General features: G+C 41.2%; 1 protein-coding gene across 7 annotated transcripts in view; it reads right to left on the bottom strand.

Annotated features, from left to right (window-relative positions):
- MAP3K13 (mitogen-activated protein kinase kinase kinase 13) overlaps positions 1 to 24,004 on the bottom strand; it is a 206,134-nt gene that overhangs the window by 100,912 nt on the left and 81,218 nt on the right. The gene's annotated exons all lie outside the window — the stretch shown is intronic.

Below are 24,004 nucleotides of genomic sequence, written 5' to 3'. Positions count from 1 at the left end.
GTATAAGTCTTTTACCTCCTTGGTTACATTTATTCCTAGTTGGGATTTTTTTTTTTTTGGTAGCAATTGTAAATGGGATTGTTTTCTTGATTATTTTTCAGCTAGTTTGTTGTTGGTATATATTTTGTGTAAACTACTGATTTTTGTGCACTGATTTTTAAACTTTTTTAACCACCTAAGTTCTTGTCTCATGTATGTTGATTTTCGTATCCTGCAACTTCCCTGAATTTGTTAATCAGTTCTGTGAGTTTTTTAGTGAAGTCTTTAGGATTTTCTATATATAAGAGCATGTTATCTGCAAAGAGGAAAAATCTGACTTCCTCTTTTCCAATTTGGATGCTGTTTATTTCCTTCTTTTGCTTGATTGCTCAGGCTAGGACTTCCCATGCTATGTTGAATGAGACTGGTGAAAGTGACCATATTGTTCTAGTTCTTAGAGGAAAGGCTTTCACCTTTCCCCATTCAGTGTGATGATAGCTGTGAGTTTCTCTCATGTGGTCTTTATTATGTTGAGGTATGATCCTTCTATGACTAATTTGTTGAAAGTTTTTGATCATGAAGGGATGTTGAATTTTATCAATAATTTTTCTGCATCTATTGAGGTGATCATATGGTGTCTTAGTCCATTTTGTGTTCTTAAAAAGGAATACCCGAGGCTGGGTAATTTATTTTTTAAAAAAAGGTTTCCCTGGCTCCTGATTCTGATGCCTCAAAAAGTTCAAGACTGGGCATCTTCATCTGGTGAGGGCATTAGGCTGCTTCCACTCACGGTGGAAAGCAAAGGGAAGCCAACTTGTGCAGAGATCACATAGAGAGAGAGGAAGCAACAGAGAGGTGGGGAGGTGCCAGGCTCTTTTTAACAAGCAGCACTCACAGGCACTAATAGAGTGAGAACTCACTGATCCGAAAGGAAGAGCATTAGTATATTCATGAGGGATCTGCCCCATGACCCAAACATCTCCCATTAGGCCCCACCTCCAACACTGAAAATCAAATTTCAAAATGAAATTTGGTGGGAACAAATAAACCATATCCAAACTATGGCATATGTCCTTCATTCTGCTGATGTTGATGTGATGTATCACATTTATTTATTTTTCCTTTCTTTCTTCAACTTTTATTTTAAGTTCAGAGATACATGTGCAGGATGCGCAGGTCTGTTACATAGGTAAATGTGTGCCATGGTAGTTTGCTGCACACATCATCCCATTCCCCAGGCATTAAGCCCAGCATCCACTAGCTTATTCTTCCTGATCCTCCTCCCTCTCCCACCCCCTGCCCTCTGACAGGATTCAGTATGTGTTGTTCCCCACCATGTGTCCATGTGTTCTCATCATTTAGTTCCCACTTATAAGTGAGAACATGTGGTATTTGGTTTTCTATTCCTGCATTAGTTTGCTAAAGATAATGGCCTCCAGCTCCATCCATGTCTCTGCAAAGAACATGATCTTATTCCTTTTTATGGCTGCATAGTGTTCCACGGTGTATATGTACCACATTTTCTTTATCCAATCTATCATTGATGGGCATTTAGGTTGACTCCCTGTCTTTGCTATTGTGAATAGTGCTGCAATGAACATACGCGTGCATGTGTTTTTAGAGTAGAGTGATTTATATTCCTTTGGGTATATACCCAGTAATAGGATTGCTGGGTCAAATGGTATTTTTACCTCTACGTGTTTTAGGAATAGCCACATTATCTTCCACTAGTTTACACTCCCACCAACAGTATCAGAGCATTCCCTTTTCTCCACTACCTTGCCAGCATCAGTTGTTTTTTGACTTTTTAATAGCCATTCTGATTGGTATGAGGTGGTATTTCATCATGGTTTTGATTTGCATTTCTCTAATGATCAGTGATGTTGAGATTTTTTTGATATGTTTGTTGGCCACATGTATGTCTTCTTTTGAGAAGTGTCTGTTCATGTCCTTTGCCCACTTTTTAATGGGAATGTTTGTTTTTTTTCTTGTAAATTTGTTTAAGCTCCTTATAGATGCTGAATATTAGACCTTTGTTGGATGCATAGATTGCAAAAATTTTCTCCCATTCCGTAGATTGTCTGTTTATTCTGTTGACAGTTTTTTTTGCTGGTATCACATTTATTGATTTGCATATGCTGATCCATCTTAATAAGTTCCACTTGATCATGTGTATTAAGCATATTAACTTTTTTTTTTTTTAAGATAGGGTCTGCTTTGTCACCCAGGCTGGAATGCAGCGGTGTGATACTGGCTCACTGCAACCTCTGCCTCCCAGGTTCAAACAATTCTCCTGCCTCAGCCTCCTGAGTACGTTGGACTATAGGCACCCACCACCACGACTGGCTAATTTCTGTATTTCTAGTAGAGACAGAATTTTGCAGTGTTGGACAAGCTGGTCTCGAACTCCTGACCTCAGGTGATCAGCCCACCTTGGCCTCCCAAAGTGCTGGGACTATAGGCGTGAGCCACCACACCCAGCCATGTATTAACTTTTTGATGTTTTGTTGGATTTGGTTTCCTAGTGTTATGTTGGGGATTTTTGCATCTATGTTCATCAGAGATACTGGCTTGTAGTTTTCTTTTTTTGTTGTGTTCTTGCCTAGTTTTTGATATCAGGGTAATTCTGGCCTCACAGAATGAATTAGGAAGAATTCCCTCCTCTTCATTTTTTTTGGAATAGTTTGAGAAGAATTCGTGTTAGTTCTTCTTTATAAGATTGGTAGAATTCAGCCAGGCATGGTGGTTCCCACCTGCAATCCCAGCACTTTGTGAAGCTGAGGTGAGTGGATCACTTGAGGCCAGGAGTTCGAGACCAGCCTGGCCAACATGGCAAAACCCCATCTCTACTAAACAACAACAACAACAACAACAAAAATACAAAAATTAGTTGGACATGGTGGTGCATGCCTGTAATCCCAGCCACTCGGGAGGCTGAGGCAGGAGAATCACTTGAATCCGGGAGGCAGAGGTTGCAGTGAGCCAAGATTGCACCACTGCACTCCAGCCTGAGAGACAGAGTGAGACTTTGCCTCCAAAAAAAAAGATTGCTAGAATTCAGCAGTAAAGCCACCAGTCCTGGGCTTTTCTTATTAAAAAACTAATCAAAATGGATTGACAACTTATGACCTGAAACTATAAAACTACTAGAAAAAAATATCAAGGAAATGCTTCAGTACATGGGTCTAGGCAAAGATTTTACAGCTAAGACTTCAAAAGCACAGTAAACAAAAAATAGAAAAACAGGACTACACTGAATTTAAAAACTTCTACACAGCAAAGGAAACAATCAGCCAAGTGAAGAGATAACTTGTAGAGTGAAAGAAAATATGTACAAACTATTCATCCAACAAGGGACCAATATGCAGAATATACAAACAACTCAACAACAAAAACTAATAATAATAATCCCATTACAAAGTGGGCAAGGGATCTGAATAGACATTTCTCAAAAGAAGACTTAAATAGCAAATGGGTATATGAAAAGATGCTCAGCATCACTAACTACCAGGGAAATGCAAATCAAACCACAGTGAGATATATCGCAGTTAGAATGGCTATTATCAAAAAAATAACAAAAGTTGGTGAGGATGTGGTGAAAGGGAAACTCTTATACACTGTTGGTGGGAACATCAATAAATACAGCCATTATGGAAAACAATATGGAGGTTTCTCAAAAAACTACAAATAGAACTACCATATGATCCAGCAATCTCACTATGGGGTATTTATCCAAAGGAAAGGAAATCAGTGTATCAAAGGGATACCTGCATCCCCATGTTTACTGCAGCACTGTTTACAATATCAAGATATGGAATCAACTCAAGTATTCATCAATGGTTAAATGGATAGAGACAATGTGTCTCACACACACACACACACACACACACACACAGAATGGAATACTATTTAGTCATAAAAAAGAATGGAATGCAGTCATTTGCAGCAGAGGTAGAGCTGGAGGTCATTATGTTAAGTGAAATAAGCCAGGCACATAAAGACAAATACCAGGTTTTCTCATTCATATGTGGGAGCTAAAAAAAAGTTGACCTCATGGAGGTAGGTAGTAGAACAATAGTTACCAGAAGCTGGGAAGAGTGGAGAAGAGGGGATGAAGAGAGGCTGGTTAACAGATACAAACATACTGTTACGAAGAAGGAATAAGTTTTAGTGTTTGATAGCACAGTAGGGTGACTATAGTTAACAACAATTTATTGTATATTTCAAAGCAGCTAAAAGAAGATTTGAAATGTTCCTAACACAAGAAACTGGTAATTGTTCAATGATGGACATCCTAAATACCCTGATACGATCACACATTATATACATGTATTAAAATATCATATGTATCCCATAAGTGTGTAATTATTATGTATACTTAAAAATTTTAAAAACTATTGGTATATGTCTTAGTCTCTTTGTGTTGCCATAAAAGAATACCTGAGACTGGGTAATTTATAAAGAAAAAAGGTTTATTTGATTCATGATTCTGCTGGCTAGAAGGCTGGGCATCTGGTGAAAGCCTCAGGTTGCTTCCACTTATGGCAGATGGTGAAGGGGTACCAGTATGTGCAGAAATTACATGGCAAGAAAGGAAGCAAGAGTGAGGTGGAAGGTACCAGGCTTTTTTTTTTTTTTTTTTGAGACAGAGTCTCACTCTGTCGCCCAGGCTGGAGTGCAGTGGCACGATCTTGACTCACAGCAAGCTCCGCCTCCCGGGTTCACGCCATTCTCCTGCCTCAGCCTCCCGAGTAGCTGGGACTACAGGTGCCCGCCACCACGCCCAGCTAATTTTTTAAAAAATATTTTTAGTAAAATCCCATTACTGGTATATACCCAAAGGACTATAAATCATGCTGTTATAAAAACACATGCACACGTATGTTTATTGTGGCATTACTCACAATAGCAAAGACTTGGAACCAACCCAAATGTCCAACAATGATAGACTGGATTAAGAAAATGTGGCACATATACACCATGGAATACTATGCAGCCATAAAAAATGATGAGTTCATGTCCTTTGTAGGGACATGGATGAAATTGGAAATCATCATTCTCAGTAAACTATCGCAAGAACAAAAAAACCAAACACCGCATATTCTCACTCATAGGTGGGAATTGAACAATGAGAACACATGGACACAGGAAGGGGAACATCACACTCTGGGGACTGTTGTGGGTTGGGGGGAGGGGGGAGGGATAGCATTGGGAGATATACCTAATGCTAGATGACGAGTTAGTGGGTGCAGCGCACCAGCATGGCACATGTATACACATGTAACTAACCTGCACATTGAGCACATGTACCCTAAAACTTAAAGTATAATAATAATAAATTAATTAATTAAAAAATATTTTTAGTAGAGATGGGGTTTCACCGTGTTAGCCAGGATGGTCTTGATCTCCTGACCTCGTGATCCACCCGCCTCGGCCTACCCAAAGTGCTGGGATTACAGGCATGAGCCACCGCGCCCGGCCGGTACCAGGCTCTTTTTTAACAACCAGCTCTTGTGGGAACTAATAGAGTGAAAACCCACTTATTCCCATGAGGATGGTGCCAAGCTCTTCATGAGGGATCTGCCCCCATGACCCAAACACCTCCCACTAGGCCTCACCTCCAACACTGGGGACCAAATTTCAAGATGGGTTTGGAGGGGCAAACATCCAATCTGTAGTTTTATACTACCTTCAATTTTCTTACCTGAAAAAATTTTAAATGTAACTCTAATTGTAATATACTTGACAATTTTTCTCCTGTTTCTTGTCTCTTATCACTACATCATATACAGTAGTCTTAACTTATTTGCAGTTTCATTTTCCACAGTTTCAGTTACCTTGGTCAACCATGGTCCGAAAATAGATGAGTAAGATATTTTGATGAGTAAGATATTGGATAAGTAACATATTTTGAGAGAGAGAAAGAGATCACATTCACAAAGTTTTATTAGTCTATTGTTATAATTTTTCTATGTTATTAGTTATTGTTGCTAATCTCTTACTATTCCTAATTTATAAATTAAACTTTATCATAGGTATATATGTTTAGGAAAAATATCTGGTATGTATAGGGTTCGATACTATCTGCAGTTTCAGGTATCTACTGGGAGGTCTTGAACCATATCCCCTATGGATAAGGGGGGACTAGTGTACATTTTTTATATTATTGGATAGACTTCATCATCATCCTTTTAAAATGGCAGCATATTGATTATTAACTACAGTTAAGTCTTGTTATTCATAATAGCTACATTCTATAAAGCCTCAGTGAGCACTGAACTAGTGAATATTGAGCCATTGCTCCTAGGGGAAGTATAGGGTTAGGTTTCTGTAAGCCTCTGGTCACAACATGCTTGTCAACTGATCAATACATAACCTTGTTTTATGTGTGCTTCTGTTTAAGGACACTTTGCATAATCTATATTGTTGATTTATTATTATCAAACTCATGGCCAACTGCACAATAACTCATGCCTAAATGGAACTTCTCTGTAAGGCACATCATAGCCTTCTTGGGCTCAGGAACACTAGACAGCATTTCAACACTATGCTTTGGCACCATTTTAAACAGTGAAATCACCAACAAAAATGCAAAAAACAGGGCACTAAGTAGACCTCAAGAAGGACAGTTGTTTACAATAGGAGAGCTAAAACAAGAAGGCAGAGCCTCATCTTGTTCGACCCCAGCTGGGAGTGTGTTATGTCAGGTGACTCAGTTTTTTTGCTGTTGTGTGCATGTCTGCAAATGACTTTAAAAGCACCAGGAGTATTGATTTGGGAGTTAAAAATAGATTCTAGCCACTAGGTGAATTTGCAAATATAGTATCTGTGAATAACGAGGATTAACTAACTATATTTCCCTATTATTGAGCAGTTAAGCTATTTATTTTCTATTAAAATAAATGCTATGATCAATACTCTATGCATGAAACTCTTCCTCTTGGCTGGACGCCGTGGCTCATGCCTGTAATCCTAGCACTTTGGGAGGCCGAGGTGGGTGCATCACTTGAGTCAGGAGTTCGAGATCAGCCTGGCCAACATGGTGAAACTCTGTCTCTACTAAAAATAGAAAAATTAGCCGGGCGTGGTAGCACACGCCTGTAATCCCAGCTACTGGGGAGGCTGAGGCAGGAGAATCAGTTGAATCTGGGAGGCGGAGGTTGCAGTGAGCTGAGATCTTGCCACTGCACTCCAGCCTGGGTAACAGAGCGAGACTTCATCTCAAAAAGAAAAACAAAAAAAAACAAAAAAAAAACAAAAAAACCTTCTTCCTCTTTTAGGAGTATTTCCTAGGAGCTACTGGGAAATTTAGAATTTTGATACAGCCTGCTTCTCGTAGTAGTTCTTGGAGTGCCTGCCTTATGACAGTTCTTCAGATCCTTGCTACTCACAAAATGTGGTCCTAGGACCAGCAGCGTTAGCATCACTTGGGAGCTAATTAGAAATGTTGACAAAAATCATTCCAGGCCAAGCGATCAGAATTTGTTTTTTTAGCAAAATCTGCAGGTGATTTCTAGGCACATTAAAAGTCTGAGAAACTCTGCTATAAATCAAGGATTCCTGAAATTTAGCACGCATCAGCATTACCTAGCCAGCTTGTTAAACACAGATGGCTGGGCCCCACCCTCAACATTTCTGACTGCGAATGTCTGGGGAGTGGCCTGAGAATGAGCACTTTTTTTTTTTTTTTTTTTGAGATGGAGTCTCGCTCTGTCGCCAGGCTGGAGTGCGGTGACGTGATCTCGGCTCACTGCAACCTCTGCCTCCCGGGTTCAAGCGATTCTCCTGCCTCAGCCTCCTGAGTAGCTGGGACTGCAGGCACGCAACACCATGCCCAGTTAATTTTTGTATTTTTAGTAGAGATGGGGTTTCACCATGTTGGCCAGGATGGTCTCTATCTCTTAACCTCGTGATCCTCCTGCCTTGGCTTCCCAAAGTGCTGGGATTACAGATTTGAGCCACCACGCCCGGCCTGAGAATGAGCACTTCTTCTGTTTTTTTGTTTTGTTTTGTTTTTTGAGACGGAGCCTCACTTTGTCGCCTAGGCTGTAGGGCAATGGCGCAACCTCAGCTCACTGCAACCTCTGCCTCCTGGGTTCAAGTGATTCTCCCACCTCAGCCTCTTGAGTAGCTGGGACTAAAGGCACCTGCCATCATGCCCGGCTAATTTTTGTATTTTTAGTTGAGATGGGGTTTCACCATGTTGGCCAGGCTGGTATTGAACACCTGACCTCAGGTGATCCACCCGCCTCGGCCCCCCAAAGTGCTTGGATTACAGGCGTGAGCCACTGCACCCGGCCAAGAATGAGCACTTCTAACAAGTTCCCAGGTGATGGTGATGGTCCTGGTCCCCGGACCACACTTTGAGAACCACAGCCTTAGCTGGTTCATGGGTAGGTCTCTTGCAGAGTTGATGTTTTTAAATTGCTAATTCATCTTTCTTGGTGAGATGGAGGGAAAAAAATAATGAATGTATAACTCATCAAAAGAAATCCGGCTGACTCCTTTTTCAGACTCAGCCCGCCTGCACCAGGTGAAATAAACAGCCTTGTGGCTCACACAAAGCCTGTTTAGTGGTCTCTTCACACAGACACGTGAGACACTTGGTGCCAAAGACCCGGGTCAGTGGGACTCCTTCGGGAGACCAGTCCCCTGTCCTCACCCTCACTCCATGAAGAGATCCACCTACAACCTCGGGTCCTCAGACCAACCAGCCCAAGGAACATCTCACTGATTTTAAATTGGGTAAGTGGCCTCTTTTTACTCTCTTCTCCAACCTCTCTCACTATCCCTCAACCTCTTTCTCCTTTCAATCTTGGAGCCATCCTTCAATCTCTCCCTTCTCTTAATTTCAATTCCTTTCATTTTCTGGTAGAGACAAAGGAGACACCTTTTATCCGTGGACCCAAAACTCCGGCGTCTGTCACGGACTCGGGAAGACAGCCTTTCCTTGGTGTTTAATCACTGCGGGGATGCCTCTCTGATTATTCGCCCACGTTCCATTGGTGTCTGATCTCCGCAGGGACGCCTGCCTTGGTCATTCACCCACATTCCCTTGGTGGCAAGTCAATTGCAGGGACACCTGCTTTGGCTGCTCACCCACGCTGCAGCCTGGGGCTGCTGCCCGCCCCCTTTCTCCGTGTCTCTACCCTTCTCTTTAAACTTGCCTCCTTCACCATGGGCAACCTTCCACCCTTCATTCCTCCTTTTCCCTTAGCCTATGTTCTCAAGAACTTAAAACCTCTTCAACTCTTGCCTGACCTAAAATCTAAGCGTCTTATTTTCTTCTGCAACACTGCTTGGCCCCAATACAAACACGACAATGGTTCTAAATGGCCAGAAAATGGCACTTTTGATTTCTCCATCCTACAAGACCTAGATAATTTTTGTCAAAAAATGGGCAAATGGTCTGAGGTGCCTGACATCCAGGCATTCTTTTACACGTCGGTCCCTCCCTAGTCTCTGCTCCCAATGCGACTCATCCCAAATCTTTCTTCTTTCTCTCCTGTCTGTTCCTTCAGTCTCCACCCCAAGCTCTGAGTCCTTTGAATCCTTCTTTTCTATGGACTCATGTGACCTCTCCCCTTCTCCCCAGGCTGCTCCTCGCCAGGCCAAGCCAGGTCCCAATTCTTCCTCAGCCTCTGCTCCCCGACCCTATAATCCTTCTATCACCTCCCCTCCTCACACCGGTCTGGCTTACAGTTTCATTCCGTGACTAGCCCTCCCCAACCTGCCCAGCAATTTCCTCTTTAAAGGGTGGCTGGAGCTAAAGGCATAGTCAAGGTTAGTGCTCTTTTTTCTTTATCCCAAATCAGATAGCGTTTAGGCTCTTTTTCATCAAATATAAAAACCCAGCCCAGTTCATGGCCCGTTTGGCAGCAACCCTGAGATGCTTTATAGCCCTAGACCCTGTAAGGTCAGAAGGCCGTCTTATTCTCAATATGCATTTTATTTTATTACCCAATCTGCTCCCGATATTAAATAAAGCTCCAAAAATTATGAAACCCCACAACAGGACTTAATTAACCTCGCCTTCAAGGTGTACAATAATAGAGTAGAGGCAGCCAAGTAGCAATGTATTTCTAAGTTGTAATTCCTTGCCTCCACTGTGAGACAAACCCCAGCCACATCTCCAGCACACAAGAACTCCAAACACCTGAACCGCAGCTGCCAGGGGTTCCTCCAGAACCTCCCCCCACCCCAGGAGCTTGCTACAAGTGCCGGAAATCTGGCCACTGGGCCAAGGAATGCCCGCAGCCCGGGATTCCTCCCAAGCCATGTCCCATCTGTGCGGGACCCCACTGGAAATCGGACTGTCCAACTCGCCCGGCAGCCACTCCCAGAGCCCCTGGAACTCTGGCCCAAGGCCCCTTCCCAGATCTTCTCGGCTTAGCGGCTGAAGACTGACACTGCCCGATCGCCTCGGAAGCCTCCTGGACCATCACAGATGCTTTAGGTAATTCTTACAGTGGAGGGTAAGTCCATCCCCTTCTTAATCAATACGGAGGCTACCTACTCCACATTACCTTCTTTTGAAGGGCCTGTTTCCCTTGCCTCCATAACTGTTGTGGGTATTGACGGCCAGGCTTCTAAATCTCTTAAAACTCCCCAACTCTGGTGCCAACTTGGACAACATTCTTTTATGCACTCCTTTTTAGTTATCCCCACCTGCCCAGCTCCCTTATTAGGTCAAGACATTTTAACTAAATTATCTGCTTCCCTGACTATTCCTGGGCTACAGCCACACCTCATTGCCGCCCTTTTCTCCAGTTCAAAGCCTCCTTCACATCCTCTCCTTGTATCTCCCCACCTTAAACCACAAGTATAGGACACCTCTACTCCCTCCTTGGTGACCGATCATGCACCCCTTACCATCCCATTAAAACCTAATCACCCTTACCCTGCTCAATGCCAATATCCCATCCCACAGCATGCTTTAAAAGGATTAAAGCCTGTTATCACTCGCCTGTTACAGCATGGCCTTTTAAAGCCTATAAACTCTTCTTACAGTTCCCCCATTTTACCTGTCCAAAAACCGGACACGACTTGCAGGTTAGTTCAGGATCTGTGCCTTATCAACCAAATTGTCTTGCCTATGCACCCCATGATGCCAAAGCCATATACTCTCCTATCCTCAATACCTCCCTCCACAACCTCTCCACAACCCAGTATTCTATTCTGGATTTCAAACATGTCTTCTTTACTATTCCTTGCACCCTTCATCCCAGCCTCTCTTTGCTTTCACTTGGACTGACCCTGACACCCATCAGGCTCAGCAAATTACCTGGGCTGTACTCCACAAGGCTTCACAGACAGCCCCCATTACTTTAGTCAAACCCAAATTTCTTCATCATCCATTACCTATCTCGACATAATTCTGCATGAAAACACACGTGCTCTCCCTGCTGATCACGTCCGGTTAATCTCCCAAACCCCAACCCCTTCTACAAAACAACAACTCCTTTCCTTCCTGGGCATGGTTAGGTACTTCTGCCTTTGGATATCTAGTTTTGCCATCCTGACTAAACCATTATATAAACTCACAAAAGCAAACCTAGTTGACCCCACAGATCCTAAATCCTTTCCCTACTCCCCTTTCCATTCCTTAAAAAACAGCCCTAAAAGCTGCTCCCACACTGGCTCTCCCTAACTCATCACTCCCTTTTCATTACATACAGCCGAAGTGCAGGGCTGTGTGGTCGGAGTTCTCACACAAGAGCCGGGACTGCGCCCTGTAGCCTTTCTGTCCAAACAACTTGACCTTACTGTTTTAGCCTAGCCCTCACGTCTGCGTGCAGTGGCTGCCGCTGCCTTAATACTTTTAGAGGCCCTCAAAATCACAAACTATGCTCAACTCACTCTCTACAGTTCTCATAACTTCCAAAATCTATTTTCTTCCTCACACCTGACACATATACTTTCTGCTCCCCGGCTTCTTCAGCTGTACTCACTCTTTGTTGAGTCTCCCACAGTTATCGTCGTTCCTGGCCCGGACTTCATTCCAGCCTCACACATTATTCTGGATACCACACCTGACCCCCATGACTGTATCTCTCTGATCCACCTGACATCCACTCCATTTCCCCATGTTTCCTTCATTCCTGTTTATCACCCTGATCACACTTGGTTTATTGATGGCAGTTCTACCAGGCCTAATCACCACTCACCAGCAAAGGCAAGCTATGCTATAGTATCATTCAGGCTACCGCTCTGCCCCCCTCCACTACCTCTCAGCAAGCCAAACTGACTGCCTTAACTTGAGCTCTCACTCTTGCAAAGCGACTATGCGTCAATATTTATACTGACTCTAAATATGCCTTTCACATCCTGCACCACCATGCTGTTATATGGGCAGAAAGAAATTTCCTCACTAGGCAAGGGTCCTCCATCATTAATGCCTCCTTAATAAAAACTCTTCTCAAGGCCCCTTTACTTCCAAAGAAAGATGGAGTCATTCACTGCAAAGGCCATCAAAAGGCATCAGATCCCATTGCTCAGGACAATGCTTATGCTGATAAGATAGCTAAAAAAGCAGCTAGCGTTCCAACTTGTATCCCTCACGGCAGTTTTTCTCCTTCTCATCGGGCCACTCCCACCTACTCCCTCGCTGAAACTTCCACCTATCTCTTCCCGCACAAGGCAAATGGTTCCTGGACCAAAGAAAATATCTCCTTCCAACCTCACAGGCCCATTCTATTCTGTTGTCATTTCATAACCTCTTCCATGTAGGTTACAAGCCGCTAGCCTGCCTCTTAGAACCTCTCATTTCCTTTTCATTGTGGGAATCTATCCTCAAGGAAATCACTTCTCAGTGTTCCATCTGCTATTCTACTACTCCTCAAGAATTTCTCAGGCCCCCTCCCTTCCCTACACATCAAGTTCGGGGATTTGCCCACCCAGGACTGGCAAATTGACCTTACTCAGATGCCTCGTGTCAGGAAACTAAAATAACTCTTGGCCTGGGTAGACACTTTCACTGGATGGGTAGAGGCCTTTCCCACAGGGTCTAAGAAGCCACTGCAGTCATTTCTTCCCTTCTGTCAGACATAATTCCTCGGTTTGGGCTTCCCACCTTTATACAGTCCAATAATGGACCAGCCTTTACTAGTCAAATCACCCAAGCAGTTTCTCAGGCTCTTGGTATTCAGTGGTGCCTGGTTTTACCTCAAACTGCCACCCTTAAGTCTCTAAGTGGATAGAAGATCTTCAGTGACAAAGTACCCTCCAACAGTTTCACCCTGATGAAGTCCTGTTCTTTACTTTTATGCTTACTCTTATTCTCATTCCCATTCTTATGCCACCCTCTACCTCTCTCCAGCTATCTCCACCACACTATCAATCTCAGTCACTCTCTCCTAGCCATTTCTAATCCTTTTTGCTGGCTTTGTATTTCTCTTTCCTCCAAAATCACCAAGGTATTGACTTACTCACTGCTAAAAAAAAAGGGGGACTCTATGTTTTTAAATGAAGAGTGCTGTTTTTACCTAAATCAATCTGGCCTGGTATATGACGACATTAAAAAAAACTCAAAGATAGAGCCTAAAAGCTTGCCAACCAAGTAAGTAATTACGCTAACCCCGCTTGGACCCCCTTGGACACTCTAATTGGATGTCCTGGGTCCTCCCGATTCTTAGTCCTTTAATACCTGTTTTTCTCCTTCTCTTATTCGGACCTCGTATCTTCCGTTTAGTTTCTCAATTCATCCAAAACTGTATCCAGGCCATCAGCAATCATTCTATATGACAAATGTTTCTTCTAACAACCCCACAATATCACCCCTTACCACAAAATCTTCCTTCAGCTTAATCTCTCCCACTCTAGGTTCCCACGCCGCCCCTAATCCCGCTCGAAGCAGCACTGAGAAACATCGCCCATTATCTCTCCATACAACCCCCAAAAATTTTCGCCACCCCAACACTTTACCACTATTTTGTTTTATTTTTCTTATTAATATAAGAAGACAGGAATGTCAGGCCTCTGAGCCTAAGCCAAGCCATCATATCCCCAGTGACCTGCAGTATACATCTAGATGGCCTGAAGTAACTGAAGATCCACAAAAAGGAGTGAAAATAGCCTTAACTGATGACATTCCACCATTGTGATTTGTTTCTGCCCCAGCCTAACTGATCAATGTACTTTGTAGTCTCCCCCACCCTTAAGAAGGTTCTTTGTAATCTCCCCACCTTTGAGAATGTACTTTGTGAGATCCACCCCCTGCCCCCAAAACATTGTTCTTAACTCCACCGCCCATCCCAAAACCTATAAGAACTAATGATAATCCCACCACCCTTTGCTGACTCCTTTTGCGGACTCAGCCCGCCTGCACCCAGGTGAAATAAACAGCCGCTGTTGCTCAAAAAAAAAAAAAAAAAAAAAAAAATCCTTTTCACTGTATAGGACCAGGCTAACCAGGTTGAGAACATGTCATGGTTGGCAGGGGTAGGGCAATATGGATGGGAATTGAGAAACAGAAATAGAAAAAAAAGTTTTGTTCTCTTGTTATTTAGGCACACTCTATCATTAAAGTATCAGAAAAATATTCTTTTTGTTTGTTTGTTTTTTGAAATGGAGGCTCTCTCTGTCACCCAGGCTGGAGTGCAGTGGCATGATCTCCGCTCACTGCAACCTCCGCCTCCTGGGTTCAAGTGATTCTAGTGCCTCGGCCTCTTGAGTAGCTGGGATTACAGGCGTATGCCACCACACCTGGCTAATTTTTGTATTTTTAGCAGAGTCGGGGTTTCCTCATGTTGGCCAGGCTAGTCTCGAACTCCTGACTTCAAGTGAACCACCCGCCTCAGCCTCCTGAAGTGCTGGAATTACAAGCGTGAGCCAGCTGAAAAACATTGAGTAGTTTTTCATAAACTATATTTTATGAATTACATACAAAAATAGGAGAATCTGAGGAATTTGGAAAAAGTATCAAAGATACATTTTTGTTCGTTTGTTTCTACTTTTTCAGTTTCCTGTGATGAAAAATAATATACAGCTATGAAAGCACAGGTCCAAAACAAGGCCCAGAAGCTTAGCTTCCCAGTCTCTGACAAATCCTTGGCTATCACTACCCAAGAATAAACCAGAAGTGATTTCTTAGAACATGGAACTCTCAAGACTATCATTTCCTTACCCCAAAACTTCAAGTCCAGCACACAGCCAATTCAAGTCCATAACTATTTGTCAATGTAAAGAATTTCTGGGTACAAGTTCTATGTATTTCAGGTAGATCAAAATGATCATTTCATATTTCTCATGAGCTTGGTGAAGCTTTAGCAGGACAGTCTCAGGTACAGGTATTCCCTTGGAGTGACTTCCTTTTCCTGGCAGGGGAAAAAGAGGAACCTTATCTTAGGGTCCTCTTTGCTCTGCATTAATAATAAGGTTATCTTATCATCTCTCTTTACGTTTCAGATATGGTCAAAGTCTATTAGAACTGGTTGGCTCTTCTTTGTTTTTAAAGCCATTCCATAGCCTATTAAATAGTTAGCAGAAAAAAGATAAGGGCTGTTTATAAGAAAATTTGTGACAAAAGCAGATTGGCTTTAACAAAATCTGGTATCAAAGGTCTAAGATTCAGTTAAAAGAAATCCTTATCATCAATGTAGATAACCTTTTAATCAAAGGAGAGCAGATGATGAGTGAGTACTTTTCAATGTGTTATGGTGGAAGCCCTGATTGGAGAAAAGAAATTATTACAGAAAATATAAAAGATTATGTGACTGTTTTTCTTTCTCCAAGAAACCTGGTCTAGTCTGTCTCTAGGTCTTTGAGAATACTTAAAAGACTAGATTGGGGCATAGCTTCAATCATTAACACAAGCAAATGATCTATTATTTTTTCTTAGACAAACAGATGGAAGGAATCCTACTCCAAAATGGCCAGAAAAAGGAGGAGGAAGGGGAAGGGAGAACCTGGCAAAGTCGTAAAATGTCTTTGTAAATGGGCTCTTGAGCCCTAATGGCTGTAACATCAGGTGAGTATTTCCCAGCAGTTTCTATGCTTAGCAAAAATGAAAGTGGGTCTGTAATTTAGGTCTGGAAGCAGTGGCTGGAAATATCCAAAGGTATGTTGCATCTGTTCCTTCTTAGTGTGCATAGTATCTAAATTTGTTATGGGAGAGGAAATAATTGGTGAGTAATTAGTAAAATGCTTAACCTAACTTTAATCAAGAGATTATTTTCCCTGGAAAAAGCAATCATGGCTTTGCATTTTGGTGAGCTTTATCTCACTAGTCTCAATTATCCATGGTTATCCAAGCCTGCAGATAGCCTAATGTGTCCCATTAAAGGCAGGCAGGCCAGCTACTAAAAATGCAGGCACAATGCCTCAGGGTAATAAGGAGCCTTAGTGGGCTTATTTTGCAAATTGAGCCCTCTTTAGTAATGGCAACTGTGACAGCCCCCCTTTAGGACTCCAAAGAGTCTTTTTCAGTCTGAGTCCCAGATCCACTCCCTTCTGTTTAAGGTGGAAACGGCTGTCCTGGCTGCCACCTGCCTCATCAGCTGAGCTACCGTCTCCCTGGGCTCTGCTCTCCTTTTTTTCTGTCATCTTTCTCCAGTCCTTCATCTTTGGCTACCTTAACCTTGAATCAATTCATTCTTTCACTTCTCTGGCCTTTTGTGAATCCAGAATTTCACTAAAATGTCCTCAGAATTGCTCAATTCTACTATTACCCCAGCCCAGGAATTCACAATGCAAATTAGCACACTGAAGACAATCACCATCTGTCAGCAGGATGTTCTACATTGTTTTTCCTGAAAATTTTTAAACAATTAAAATTGTACAGTTACTGCACATTCTCTTAGGGTTGCCCTGCAACACATGATTGCATTTTGTAAGATGTTTTTACCACACTGCTACACAGATATGTATTGTTACTAAATGAAAATGCTATATGAAAATTATTATAGCTGTTAGGACTAGACATCAGCCCTCTTGGCTTGACAATTATACAAATGAAGAAGGGTGTAAGAAAAATTCCAAACTGATGAAATGAACATACAAATGAAAAGGGAGTTTTTTGTTTTGTAATTTTAAAATTTATCTTTTTTTTTTGACAAAATCTACAAATTTAAAATACCAATCTATCGACCAACTTGTTATTGGGAAAATTATGAAAGAACAATTTTCAAAAGCTAGCAATTATCATACAGAATAATATCTTATTTTTACAAAGGCTGGTTATAATATTTATGAATTTAGTGGGTCTTCATTTTTTCAATTTAATATAGTCTTCATCCTTCATCTAACTTCAGCTCGAGTTAGAAGACAAAAGGAGGTAGTGAGAGATGGGCAGAAAGAGGTAATAGGATGAATTTTGTTAGGAGCACTAACAAAGGTTATTTCAGGAAAAGGCTACAACGTACAACCAAACTGAGGCTACTGGATTATCGGTAGCCACATCCCCTATTAGCCCAGATCACCAAATCACTAGTCTAATGGAAGCTTTTTTTTTTTTTTTTTTTTTTGACTACAGAGAACAATGGTCAAGACAATTGACATTTATAATGGGCATGCCTAAAGGTGTTGAAGTCATAACTGATCAGGAATCTATTTCCTGCTTATAAGGAAAGTGCGTGGGCAAATCTGAAGGTGATTTAACCTATAATCCATCACCTAGATGTCTCCATCTGAACAATTCTGACACTTTCTCCTCCTCCCCAGCTGTCGCAGCATGCCATGGAGGCTAAATTTCTATAAAAATACTGTGAAAGGACCGGGCGCAGTGGGTCACGCCTGTAATCCCAGCACTTTGGGCGGCCAAGGCAGGCAGATCACTTGAGGTCAGGAGTTCAAGACCAGCCTGGCCAACATGGTGAAACCCTGTCTCTACTAAAAAATACAAAAATTAACTGGGCATGGTGGCACATGCCTGTAATCCCAGCTACTCAGGAGGCTGTGGCAGGAGAATCGCTTGAACCCAGGAGACGGAGGTTGCAGTGAGCTGAGATCACGCCAGTGCACTCCAGCCTGGGCAACAAGAGCAAAACTCCATCTCGAGAAAACAAAAAACAAAAAATACTATGAAAGAATTGGAATAAAAGTAGATTTTAGCCAGATTGCCTTAGAAATTGTCCCTTGCTTATTTAATGTTGTTAATTAACATCCAGGTTCCAAGAATCTTACAATGTTAGCATTAAAAAGAACATCTGAGATCACTAAGAACAATTTTTTCATCTCTCATGTTAAAACCAAAGCTTAGGAAAATTTTTAAAAAGCTAAGTGGGTAACTGCCTTGCTAAGGATGACCTGGTAAGGACGACCTGATTGCTACATAGACTCCTACAGTCTTAGTCCAATTCTTTTTCCATTGCATCCTCATGCCTTGCAGTAGGTAAAGAGAAAACATGTTGATTTTATCCATTTTAGTGTAAGAATCTTCTAGATAAAGAAGGCAGGTAAATGGATGAATGATAGAACCTCTTTATTAAAAACTTTACTATACACCAAGGGTTCAATTCAACCTCTGTTCAAGGTGGTGAGTGTGAAACTCCTGCTAAAGTGTTTTTAAAAGCAAAAGAAATTTAAGTGTTTTCAATATTGCCTACATCAGTGGTTCTCTGCCCAATTCATCTGAGAAGCAGAACACATCCCACCCATTAACTATGCCTTACTATGCAGTGATTCTCAGTGGTGATACTATGGGAGGGCACACATCTGCATCCACACACTTATGTAGGAGGATCTATTCTAATAGAGAAGCATGCGAGTTTAAAAGAGCTCTCCAAGCACCACCCTTGCCCTGTTCTTCACCCAACAGAAACATCACTAATCTCCCCAAAATGGCACTTATACAATAAAGTTAATACTGAATATTCACTTTGACTTTTAGGACTTAGAAGAAACTCTCTTTACATCTCAGGGTGCCTGACTAGGTCAACCACTGACCCCTTTGTTTGATGGTTCACCATCTCTTTGAGGAATCAATATCCGCACATAAACAATACAATGCAAAAGTCCCATTTTAAATTTACCCCACTCCCAGCACGCTCTATTCCCCTCCCATCTTTATTTTTCTCCTTAACATTTATCACTGTCTAAACATAATTTACTTACTTACTGTTCATCTCCTTTCATTAGATTAAACTAAGTTCCAAGAGGGCAACAATTTTTGTCTGTTTTATTCACTGCTGCGTACCTAATACTTAGAACTCATAGTAAATGCTCAATCAATATTGTTGATTAAATGAATAGAAAAATGATGACAACACCTTTATACTTGCTAATTCTACTTGGTTTTTTTTTTTTTTGAGATGGAGTTTCACTCTTATTGCCCAGGCTGGAGTGCAGTGGTGCAATCTCGGCTCACCGCAACCTCTGCCTCCCGGGTTCAAGTGATTCTTCTGCCTCAGCCTCCCGAGTAGCTGGGATTACAGGCATGCACCACCATGCCTGGCTAATTTTTTTGTATTTTTAGTAGAGACAGGGTTTCTCCGTGTTGGTCAGGCTGGTCTCAAACTCCTGACCTCAGGTGATCCGCCTGCCTTGGCCTCTCAGAGTGCTGGGCTTACAGGTGTGAGCCACCGCACCTGAAAGTTCATCTTTTCTATCATTCCCTTCAATCATTCTCTCATGCCCGGTACATGGGCCCTCCACCCTCTTAGGGCTTTTTCTGCTAGCTACGTCTAGGGAGAGTATAGCCTGTCTAGGCTCCATGGTTATTATGTGATAATCCTCATTTACCTCCAACTTCTTACCTTCCACTGCACCTGCTGTGCCAACACTTAACCCTATATAACCCCCAACATCTAACTTACCTTACTCTTTCTTTGCCCATTCCAGAGCAGTGCTACAGAAGATTTTAAATTCATGCTGGACTGGACCGAGAGCAATTCATGGCAATACTTAATGTTCACAATCCATAGTAAACAGAAGAAAGAGAACAGAACTAGGAATTAAAGCTGGGTTTGAAAATTAGATATAACATATACTACCTGGTGTCTTTGGTTAAGTCAGTGACCTATCTGAGCCTTTTTTTCCTCATCTGTACAGTGGGAATACTACTACCTACTTCATATCACAAAGATTACATTTAATTAATTAATTTTTTGAGACAGGGTCTGTTCTGTTACCCAGGCTGGAGTGCAGTGGCATAATCAAGGCTCACTGCAACCTCTGCCTCCTGGGTTCAAGCAGTTCTCATGCCTCAGCCTCCCTCCCGAGTGACTGGGACTACAGGCGTGTGCCACCACATCCGGCTAATTTTTGTATTTTTTGTAGACCCAGGGTTTTGCCATGTTGCCCAGGATGGATGAAGATTATATTTTAATAAAATAATGTATATAAAAGCTCCCAACAGGTTTATAGCCATGTAGGCTGGGCACAGTGGCTCACGTCTGTAATTACAACATTGTGGAAGGCCAAGGCAGGAGGATCACTTGAGCACAGGAGTTTGAGACCAGCCTGGGTGACATAGGGAGACCTCATCTCTATAAAAAATTTAAGAAATAGCCAGCTATAGTGGCATGTGTCTGTGGGCCCAGGTATTCGGAGCCTGAGGTGGGAAGATGGCTTGAGCCCAGGAGGCTGAGGCTGCAGGGAGCTGTGATCAAGCCACCATATTCCAGTCTGGGTAACAGAGGGAGACCTTGTTTAAAAAAAAAAAAAATTTACAGACACGTAGAAAGTGCTTAATAAATGTTAGCTCCTCCTCTTTAACATATTTCATTAACTTCCAATGATACCCTCACTCTTTGAGTGAATAACAAGAAAACTCAAGCTTTCTGGTATGAATCTTCTTAATTTTCCTTTCTTCCCTCCTTTTCATATCAGAATGCTATGTTTTCGCTCATTTTCTTTCCTGATTCTGAAAGTCTCTCTCTCTCTTCTGTTCTAAGACCCTGCATGTCAATAGTTTTCAAGCCCGGCTGCACATTAGACTCAGCTGGGAAGCTTTTTAAAAATACATCATCACTGGGTCCCATCACAAACCAATTAAATATAAATCTCTGGAGGTGGAAGCATGGCATCAGTATTTTTTTTAAGTTCCCTGGTAGGGTGCCAAGACAATTTAATGGGGGAAAGAATAGTCTTTTAAACAAATATTACTCAAACAACTGAATATCCAGATTCAAAAGAATAAAGTTGAACCCTGTCTTTATAGCACACACAAAAAATAACTCAAAATGAGTCACAGATCTAAATGTGGAGCTAAAACTATAAAACTCTTAGAAGAAAACATAGAAGTAAATCTTTATGACCTTGAGTCAGGCAAAGCCAACTTAGATATGACACCAAAAGCATAGGCAACAAAAGAAAATAAAACTGAACTTCATCAAAATTAAAAATTTTTATACCATAAACAATATTATCAAGAAAGTGGAGGCAACCTATGGAATGAGAGAAAATATTTGCAAAGTATACATCTGATAAAGAGCTTGTGTCCAGAATATATAAAGGACACTTGCAAGTCAGGATTAAAAGATAATTTAATTTTTAATGTGGACAATGTGTCTAAATAGATATTTTTCCAAAGAAGATATACAGATGGCCAATAAGCACATAAAAAGATCCTTGACATCATTCACTTTTAGGGAAATATAAACCAAAACCACAATGAGATTCCATTTCAAACTTGTTAAGATGGTTCTAATAGAAAAGATAGATAATAACAAGTGTTGAAGAGGATGTGCTGAAACTGGACCCTCATACATTGCTGATGGGAATGTAAAATGGTGCAACCACTTTGGAAAACAATTTGGCATCTCCTGAAAATGTTAAACATATAGTAATCATAATGACCCAGCAATTCAAGTCCCAGGTATATACCCAAGAGAAATTAAAACAAATTCACACAAAAATGTGTACACAAATGTTCATAGAAGCATTATTCCTAATAGTCAAAAAGCGGAAGCCCAAATATCTATCAACTGATGAATGGATAAGTAAAATATGGTGCACTGGAATATTTCTTGGGAATAAAAAGATAAGAAGTACTGATATAGGCTACAACATGGACAAACTTTGAAAACATTATGCTAAGTGAAATAAGCTAGTTACAAAAGAGCATGTACTGTATGATTTCATTTACATGAAATATCCAGACTGAGCAAATCTATATATAGAGAAAGCAGATTGGCGGTTGTCTAGGGCTGGGGGGTGAAGAGAAATGAGGAGTGACTGCTAATGGGTATGTGGTTTCTTTTTGTGATGATGAAAATGTTCTAAAATGGATTGTGATGATTGTACAACTCTGTGAACATACTAAAAACCATTAAATAGGAAAAAAGAAAAGAGAAAAGAAAGGAAGGAAGGAAGGGAGGGAGGGAGGGAGGGAGGGAAGGGAAAGGGGAGGGGAAGAGAGGGGAGGGGAGGGGAGGGGAGGGGAGGGGAGGGGAGGGGAGGGGAGGGGAGGGGATGGGGAGAAAGAGGTAGGGAGGGAAGGGAAAAAGGTTCCACAGGTAATTCTAATACTGAAGTTTATTTCCGGCATTTTCCTTTCTAGATTCCTTCAGAGTAAAGACTGCATTTTCTAAATTTTTTTCTCCCCCATATTCTTACAGAATAGTAACACAGAGCAAGGGTGTGATTTTTTTATTTTTATTTTTTTGCAACAAACTGTTCTTGGGGAATGTTCTTTATTTTAATCAAAATTGCAAGATCAGGCTGCCACCTGGCAGAATTGGTCATCTTGGCTATCTTGAACTATTTGAGCTCTCCAAGCACTTAATTCAGCTGAAGCACACAGAAAGAGGATAGGCACACAACGCAAACCAAACTGACCGGTTTTGCCATCTGAAGTATGGTTGTTCTGTCATCTACCAGTGGATGTGGCCTCTGGCCCTTAGGAACCATTCTTTTGACAGTTCCCCAGGACATGGCTCTGGTTTGACTGACTTTGTTTACTAAATAAATTAATTCCTACTTCTGGAGTAGCTTCAGTTTTTAAACAGAAAGCCATCTATTGACAGTCACTGATACACAGGATTTTATTGTTTGATATTAAACAATTAAGAGTTATTGTTTTTTTCCCTACAAGTACACTATACATGAAGATAAATATAATGTAGAATACAGTCACTAGGAGTGGGGAGAGAGGGGGATTCTATATCTGCTCTGTGCCTTAAAGTAACAGTTTTACTTTAGTAAATCCAAAGTACATACTGTATTTCTTTCACAGAAATAAGGCTCTCTTTTGGCAAAATGTGCATCAAAGACAGAGTCTGATGAACATTTTTTAAGATGAGTTTGATTATTAAACAACATTTTTTAAATATCCTAAGAATTTGACCTTTCGTGCTAGTAGACTTCAATAATTTAAAATTACTTGGAAATTGCTACTTTCAACAAACTCTCTGAAGATATACAAAAAAGGAAAATGCTGAAATAAGTCAAGATGTTTACAAATATTATGTCTAAAATGTTATCTCATTTGTTAAACCCAGAAAATAAAAAATAATAAAATATGAAACCATAATTGTCCGAGTATAGGACAAAGATCTGATTTAGAATCAGGCAGAGGTTTTCCCTCTATTACTCCAGCAAGTTCAAATGTACTCAGAAATACAAAATGATTGACGGTAATATCAAGATGAGAAACAAAAGACAATGTTACATCCTCAGGTATGATAAGTTTGAAATTAGATGAGTTTACAGTTGGAAGATTCATTAAGAACAACAATTCAAAAGATATTATAGCCATAATTTAGAAGTCTTGCTTCACGAGAAAAGATAATATAAAAATCTAAAAATTAAGTATTGATTTTACAAGGTAAACATGGCAGCCTGGATTATAAGAAATATCAGGCATTTTGCTTTCTCAGGAGAAAGAACAACTGGGTACATGCTGCAGACTGGCATATAAATCGCTCAAAGTGAAGCAGTTGGGAAATGCTGTCAGATTATTCGGGTTGAGGAGCTGCCCCAGGGGCAGAACATGTCACAATGTCACATCCCTCTTCTTTACTCTCACAACTTTCACCAGAATAAACAGACCCTTGGAAAACAAATTCAATCACAAATAGTAACTTTTTGTTAAAACTACAGTAGCAAACTACCAAACCAACTTTATACATGGAACATATCAGAACTT

Source organism: Homo sapiens, chromosome 3 (assembly GCF_000001405.40).
Source record: "Homo sapiens chromosome 3, GRCh38.p14 Primary Assembly".
Lineage (NCBI taxonomy): Eukaryota > Metazoa > Chordata > Mammalia > Primates > Hominidae > Homo > Homo sapiens.
This window is presented reverse-complemented; position numbering and strand designations above follow the sequence as displayed.